Below are 7,259 nucleotides of genomic sequence, written 5' to 3'. Positions count from 1 at the left end.
GGGGCTCTCTTTGAGCTGAAGATCAGCTCAGGGCTGCCAATAGCCTGCATAGCTTCTCCCTGAGAATCCCAAAACGCAGGCCCTGGGCTGGGGTCCTACCTTACCAAGATAGCATGCCAAAGAAAAAGGCTCCTCTTCTCTGAGCAGGCACAGCTCTCCACCACTTGGTGGGCACAGCAAGGACTGGATTTCAGCCCCCACTTGCCCTTCAGTCTAGGCCTTGTGCACAATCCCACCTGCAGGTTTCATACTGAGCCTCCATCCTGGAAACCGCTCTGCTCTGTCTGTCCTTGAGCAAGTCCCTGCTTCTCCCTGGGTCCCATTTTTCCCATTTGTCAAATGGGGCCAAACAGCTGGGAAGATCCAATGAGATAAGAGAAAGAAAGTTGCTTTGAAAAGTAAGATATGCGTGACAAATGTCAGTTTCTTCCTGGCCCACTGGATGAATGGGTGGATGAATGGTTGGTCAGATGGATGGATGTGTAGATGGATGGATGTGTGGATGGAGGGATGGTTGGATGGGTAGATGGATGATGGATGAATGGGTGGTTGGACAGATGGATGGATGGTTAGATAACAAGATAATCTCTGAATTCCAGTTCTATGCTCTCTGCACTTTCTAGAGCAGTGAAAAGCCCGAGATTTGGGGCCCAAACGTTAGTGTCTTCTGACCACCCTTTTGTCCCCCCAGTTATCCCCAACTATGTCACTCCCCAGCTCTGTACCATTTGGACCACCAATGCTATGGATAAACCTCTTCTTCACGCTGATAGGAATGAGTTTGGCATGAGGCTGAAGGACTGAGCCCCTTCCTCCCCCTACCGAGCCCCTCCCTCCATGGGGTGGAGGACCCTAGTTGAGGAGTTCCCCTTTCTAGGCCTTGATCTATAATGAGATAACTGATTGTTCTTGCCTCTTAGTCTCTTTCTCGATAAAGGGATAGACAGAGATGAGACAATTAAAAGACAGGCTCCCAACCACCCTGGAGAGATTCAATGAATATTAACAGACTTCCAGCTGCCGTCTGGCTGAGGCCTTGGGAACAGACAGCTCCAAAAAGGCTTAAGGGGCCCAGCGGGATGACTTAATTTTCAAGAGAACAATGGCCACAGGAGAGGGAGGGTCACTGAGTATCTCCTTCAGGAGGGGCTGCAGTTCTCCAGCCTGCCCAGCCTTCTGCCCTATGCCAGGCTCAGAAGGCAGGGTGGGGAGATTCTGAAGTCAGGTGCATTAGGGTCGTGTCCCAGCTGTGGCCCTGCCCAAGCTGTGTGGCCTCAGGTACATGTGTGAGCCTCTCTGAGCCTCTGTTTCTGCCCGTGGGAGATGGGGTGACAATGAAGCAACCCTCACAGGCGTTTCCCACCTGAGCTCAGGTGAGGTGCTCTGCTGTGTCTGGAGGCAGCTAAGACCAATGGGTCAGTAGAGGCAGAGCCAGTGGGCATGCAAAGGGCTGGGATCTGCATGCTCAGGGTCATCAGGCCCCTTGTTGCCTGGGGGTCTTTCTTTAGAGAGCAGGGGGCAGGGTCAGGGAGGGGGCTGCCCGTCCCATGCACATGCATGCCCCAAATCTCCTCTTCTCTCCACCCACAGCCCCGGCCCCATCGGCTTACTGAGAGCCTGAGTCCAGCCCTGAGGTTCAGCACAGATGACTGAGGCCCAGGAACTCAGGCCAGGGAGTCAGGGCTTGCCTGCAGGCAGCGTAGCACTTGTGCCTTTGTTTCGTGGACTGAGAACCAGAGGGAGAAATGGCTTGCCCAAGGTCCCACAGCTACTGAGTGGCGGAGGGAGGGCACTGGAGCTCACTGAGCTAAACCAAATGTCCTTTGCAACATAGTACTGCTATTGGGGTGGGGAACAGTGGCCAGAAGTGCCCATAGGCAGGCCGTGGACTTCCGGGTGGCAGCAATCAAGCCCAGCCCTAACTCGGCCCCAGCCTAGCTGCACTGGCTCCCCCGCCCAGTGGAATGCTTACTGGGAAGTGCAAAAATAGCTGCACAGTGGAGCCATGGCAGCAAGGTGAAGACGGATGGAGCGCGATGGAGAGCCGGGTGAGCGATGAGCTCATTAGGGAGGTGAGCGACGAGCCCACGCACAGGTGTTTACTTAGTGAGCGGGAGCTTGGGAGGCTGAGGACGGACCTGTGCATCTGTCCCACTCTGGCGCTTGGCTCGAGTTTTAGCCCATGATAGGCTCTAGTGTCACCAAGGACATAGGAGAGGCCTGCTCCAGCCTCACCCACCCTGGCTCTGCCCTGGGCTAGGCCTGCTGGGGCCTCTGTCACTCTGGGAACCATATGGGGAACTTCCCCACAGAGGTCAAGCATCCAGGGCTCATCCCCATGAACTTTTTCATCCTTCGTCACCCCATTCCTCATCTCTGAGGCTCTCAAACTCAGCCAGGGCCTGAAGAGCTGAGGAAGGAGCACTGTTCTGGGAGCCCAGAGTCCCAGATTTCAGGTCCGGTGCCTGGCTTCAGTCAGCACAGCACTTGACGGCTGGCAGAGATCATGCAAACAGGATCTCATCAGAACCAGACCCACACTGCGTTTTAGGCAGGTCTGGGACTGTGATCTCCATTCTAGAGACAAGGAAAGCTGAGACCCAGAAGGCGGAAGTCAGCGTGAGATGGGGCTGGGTACACACCCAGGTCTGTGGGCTTCCAGGCCAGTTCCATTTCCTCATCTGATCTCTGCTGCCATATCGCCTGCCCCTCCTGGGGCCTCAGTTTCCCCATTTACACAAGAGGGTTCCCTAAGGGAGCATCAGCTTCCCTCATCCTTCCTGTCACCAGCTCCTTGCTGACACAGCCCAGGAGAGCACAGGGCTGTCAAGAGGGTAAGGCCCCAGCCACAGCCACGGGCCCAGGATGGGCATGAAGGTGCACACAAAGGCAGGGCTGTGGGGATGCCAGTCAGCCTCCACCTGGGACCCTAGGATCTCCTGGGACTGGCCAAACAGGGGGGCCACACAGGGATGGGCTTGGGAGAGGGCAGCTAAGACCAATGGGTGAGTAGAGGCAGAGCCAGTGGGCAGAGGATCTGGGCTCTCAGCTCACAGAGGAGAGAGGAGGCGCCATCTGCCTCCCAGCTTTAAGCTTTTCTCCTTAGGGAGAGTGAGCACAAAGAGAAACCTCTCCTTTCTTCTCAGGTCTCTCATCTTGACCCTTTCCAGGTCAGGTGGGGACAGCCCGGAGTTTTGAGAGGTGGATGAACACTGGTCTGGCTGTGACAGGTGCTCCATCTGGGGCTGCTGGGGAAGGGGCAAGGCTGCCCTCCCCAAGGTAGGTTCCCTGCAGGACGGCCACCTTGCTGCCGGCAGAGCAGGAGCCTGCCTGGCTGAGAACTACCCTACTCCTGATACATGGTCCCCCTCGTCTTGTCTGTCTTTCAGACCCAAATACACGCAGACCTGGCAACAGTGAGAAACAGGACTGGCTTTCTCCTCATGGGGCCATGAAAGGGGCAGGTCTGGCTCCAGGTCACAGAGCAAGACAGTGGCAGAGGCAGGACCAGGGGATGGCCAGGACCCAGATGCTGCCTGTCCACACAGCATGCGGCAGGGACCTGGAAGGGAGCACCATGGGCTCCGCAGCCAGCTGGGCTTGGGGGCAAATCACAGCTCCTGCTTCCCCAACAGGAGGACACAGGCCAAGCTCCCTGAAGGGCGCTCCTAGAAAACAGTCCTCAGGAAAGTGTGGGAGATCACTAACTAGCACCAGTAAAGTAGTCAGGCCCACGGGGAAAGCCTTTGGAACCATCTGGAGCGATCGGAGTGAGAGAGAGAGATGGGACCACTGTTGTAAGAATAGCAGAAGGAGCCACTCATGTCGGAGAAGCCTCCCCGTGTGGAAACGACCCTTGTGTGGGTAACTCAGGGTCCCTTGGGGGCCCTCTTTCTGGGAAGAGGCTGTATTACCTTCAGTTTTCTGCTGCTGGGTCTCTGTTTCCATGATCTTTGCCATTAGAGAAATTTTACTTTCCATCAGGGACCATCTCATCGTGACCCCCCCACGTGCTAACTTCTCTGAGCCCAGTTTCCTGATGAGGCATGGGGGCCACAGGACACAGGCCTGGAAGCAGTGAGAAGCAGTTTCAAGAGGGAGTGCATCCAGGTGCAGAGATCTGGGACCGAGATCTCTTTCTTTGCCTCCCCCACTTCACCTGGGTACCCCTGTGATGGTTACTATTGAGTGTCAACTTGACTGGATTGAAGGATGCAAAGTATTGTTCCTGGGTGTGTCTGTGAGGGTGTTGCCAAAGGAGATTAACCTTTGAGTCAGTGGACTGGGAAAGGCAGACCCACCCCCAGTCTGGGTGGGCACAATCTAATCAGCTGCCAGAGTGGCCAGAATAAAAGCAGGTAGAAGAACGTGGAAATTCTAGACTGGTTTAGTCTTCCAGCCTACATCTTTCTCCCGTACTGGATGCTTCCTGCCCGCGAACATCAGACTCCAAGTTCTTCAGCTTTGGGACTCTTGGACCTTCGACCACAGACTGAAGGCTGCACTGTTGGCTTCCCTACTTTTGGGGTTTTGGGATTCGGACTGGCTTTCTTGCACCTCAGCTTGCAGATGGCCTATTGTAGGACCTCACCTTGTGATCATGTGAGTCAATACTCCGTAATAAACTCCCCTTCATCTATACATCTATCCTGTTAGCACTGTCCCTTTAGAGAACCCTAACTAATACAACCTACCCATCCTTCAGAAGGTGGCTGAGTCATCACCTCCTCAAGGAAACCTTCCCTGACGTTCCAAGCTAGGGGAGTCCCACATAGTATCTGTCCTCAGAGAATCATGGAATTCTTCCTAGCACTAATCCCAAGGGTAATTTTATATTTATTTGTGTGATCATTTGATTAATGTCTACCTCTCCCCAAAGACTATAATAATCTCCACAAGGGTAGGGTCACAACCATTTTCATTCGCTCCTGCATATTCAGAGCCTTTATGTAGGGTGTGGAGCACGGAAGCTTGATAAGTATCTGTTGTGTACATGAATGAATGAATGAATGAGTGAATGAATGAATAGCACATGGCCAAGAAGGAGAGGATCACTGAGGGCTTTCTGGACTATGGCAGGACTTTGGGAGTCTGGGCTGGCAAGAGTAAGTTTTATGTTGGGTAGAAAAGAGCTCTCCCTAAAGCAGGGGCCAAACCAGTCCGCTAGGGCTGTGTTTACAGCTAGGGTGGAATTGGTGAGATGGGGAGAGATGCCTTGGGGGTGAATTCAGTTTACCCCCCTACATCCTACTCTCAAGGAAATGCATCTATTCTATTCTCCCTGGTCCCCAGACTCTTCCAGATGTAGGCTGCTAGCCCTGGGCCCATGCCTAAAATTAGTAATCTCCCTGGAGTGGCCATGAAGAGGAACTCCTCCATAGAACCAGTCATCCTGTTCACCGGATTGTTGAGGGCCCTTGTAGAAGGCCCACATTGTTGAAGGCCCTCAACAATGTGAGACTCAAAGATCCACACACTTTGGGCTCATTCCCATTGGCCCATCCATAGGCTTTCTCCAGCCTTCCTTGTATCCAGTCATCCAGTCTTGCTCCCTTCTGTGATCTTGACCAATCAGCTAAGCTATTTGTCACTTACCCAGTCTTCTTAGAAAGGAGCTAAGTGATCATTAATAGAATGTTCATAGAAATATGGATGGTAATGGCCATTCTGATGAAGTCTCAGATAGAAATGAGGAATATGTTATTGGAAACTGGAGGAAAAGTGATCCTTGTTATAAAATGGCAAAGAATTTGGTAGTATTGTGTTCCTGTCCTAGTGCTTTGTGGAAGCTAGAACTTCTGAGCAATGAAACAAGACATTCAGTGGAAGAAATCTCTAAACAAAGTTATTGAGGATGTGGCATGGCTTCTCTTGACTGTGGTAAAAACACAAGAAGATATAAATTAATTAAAGATGCAATTTATAGTCAAAAGGGAAGCAGAACTTAAAGATTTGGAAAATTCTTAGCCTGGCCAGGTTGTAAAGAATGTAAAAGTGTGTTTGAGAGATAACACCAACAGTGTGTGGCCAAGTGAAGGTTGGCCAGATGCTATTCATCAAGACAATGGATGAATAATCCCCAAAATATTTTGGCAGTCTTCAAGACTGCCACTCCCTTTACCAGAATGCCCGGGCATCGGGGGCAGAATGGTTTCAAAGCTCTTCTCCCCAAATTCTTGTACAATGCTCCTTGGTCACCCAGCTGTGGCTCAAGAGAGCTCAGGTGTGGCTTGGGCCAACTATCAGGTAGGCACAGATGAGGAACCATGGTGGCATCAACACAGTGCCAACTCCAGGAGTGTGCAGAGTGAACAAGTTGTGGGGACATGGCTACCTCCACCTAGATTTCAAGGGATGCCCTGGAGAACCTCAGGTCCCAGCCCAAGAACTGCCACAGGGGTGGGGCCACCACAGAGATCCTCCACTAGAGTGATGTCCAGTGGACCCACAGGGGCAGAGCTAGAGCTGCCCCTTAGACTACAGGCCAGTAGAGCCACCAGCAGGTAATTCTACCTTGGGAGAACCACATACATGTGATTCCAACCCATTAGGGCTGCAGTGTGGGCTGTGCTTAGCACAGCCATGGGAGCACGGCCACCCAAAGCCACGTGAGCCAACCCCTACCACAGTTTGTCCAGAAGTAGGACAACAAGTCTAAGACATTATTTGCAGGCTTTAAGATTTAATGTTGTTTTCCCTGTTGGGTTTTGGACTTACTTGGGACCAGTTACCTCTTTCTTCTTACTTCTCTTTTTTGTAATGGACATGTCTATCCTATGCCTGTCCCACTGTTGCATTTTGAAAGCACATAAATTGTTTAATTTCACAGGTTCACAGCTGGAAAGCAATTTGCTTCAGGATGGAGGTACCTTAAGTCTCAGCCATATCTGATTTAGATGATATTTAGATAAGACTCTGGACTTTAGACTTCTGAGCTGATGCTGAAATGAGTTATTGTTTGTGGGGCTACTGGGATGGAATGAATGTATTTTGCCTGTGAGAGGGACGTGAATTTTGGGGGAGCAAGGGAGGAATACTATGGTTTAAACGTTTTTGTCCCCCCGCACACAAAATTCATATGTTGAAACCTACCATCCAAGGTGGTGGTATTAAGAAGGGGGACCTTAGGCCGGGCGCGGTGGCTCACACCTGTAATCCCAGGACTTTGGGAGGCCGAGGCAGAAAGATCACGAGGTCAGGAGATTGAGACAATCCTGGCTAACACAGTGAAACCCTGCCTCTACTAAAAATACAAAAAA

General features: G+C 51.9%; 1 long non-coding RNA gene across 3 annotated transcripts, besides 1 other annotated feature; it reads left to right on the top strand.

The window, feature by feature from the left end:
• Positions 1,548-2,346: an enhancer, noted in NCBI's record as "H3K27ac-H3K4me1 hESC enhancer chr10:72765166-72765964 (GRCh37/hg19 assembly coordinates)". NCBI's record gives its function as "activates a minimal SCP1, AML or CMV promoter by ChIP-STARR-seq in naive H9 embryonic stem cells {active_cell/tissue: H9 hESC(naive)}" and the evidence as "EXISTENCE:reporter gene assay evidence [ECO:0000049][PMID:30033119]".
• LOC105378351 (uncharacterized) lies at positions 1,995-4,640 on the top strand. Of its 3 annotated transcripts, none has more exons than XR_946048.4 (3): positions 1,995-2,072; positions 3,171-3,279; positions 3,985-4,640. It is a non-coding gene; the product is annotated as an uncharacterized LOC105378351 (long non-coding RNA). The 3 variants fall into 3 exon arrangements; XR_946047.2 differs by having other exon boundaries at positions 2,003-2,072; positions 3,390-4,628; XR_001747494.1 differs by having other exon boundaries at positions 2,018-2,072; positions 3,147-3,279; positions 3,390-4,628.
• Positions 4,641-7,259: the final 2,619 nt, after the last annotated feature.

This window comes from Homo sapiens, chromosome 10, assembly GCF_000001405.40.
Source record: "Homo sapiens chromosome 10, GRCh38.p14 Primary Assembly".
Taxonomy (NCBI): Eukaryota; Metazoa; Chordata; class Mammalia; order Primates; family Hominidae; genus Homo; species Homo sapiens.
Note: the sequence above shows the minus strand (reverse complement) of the source record. Positions and strands in the feature narration are given on the sequence as shown.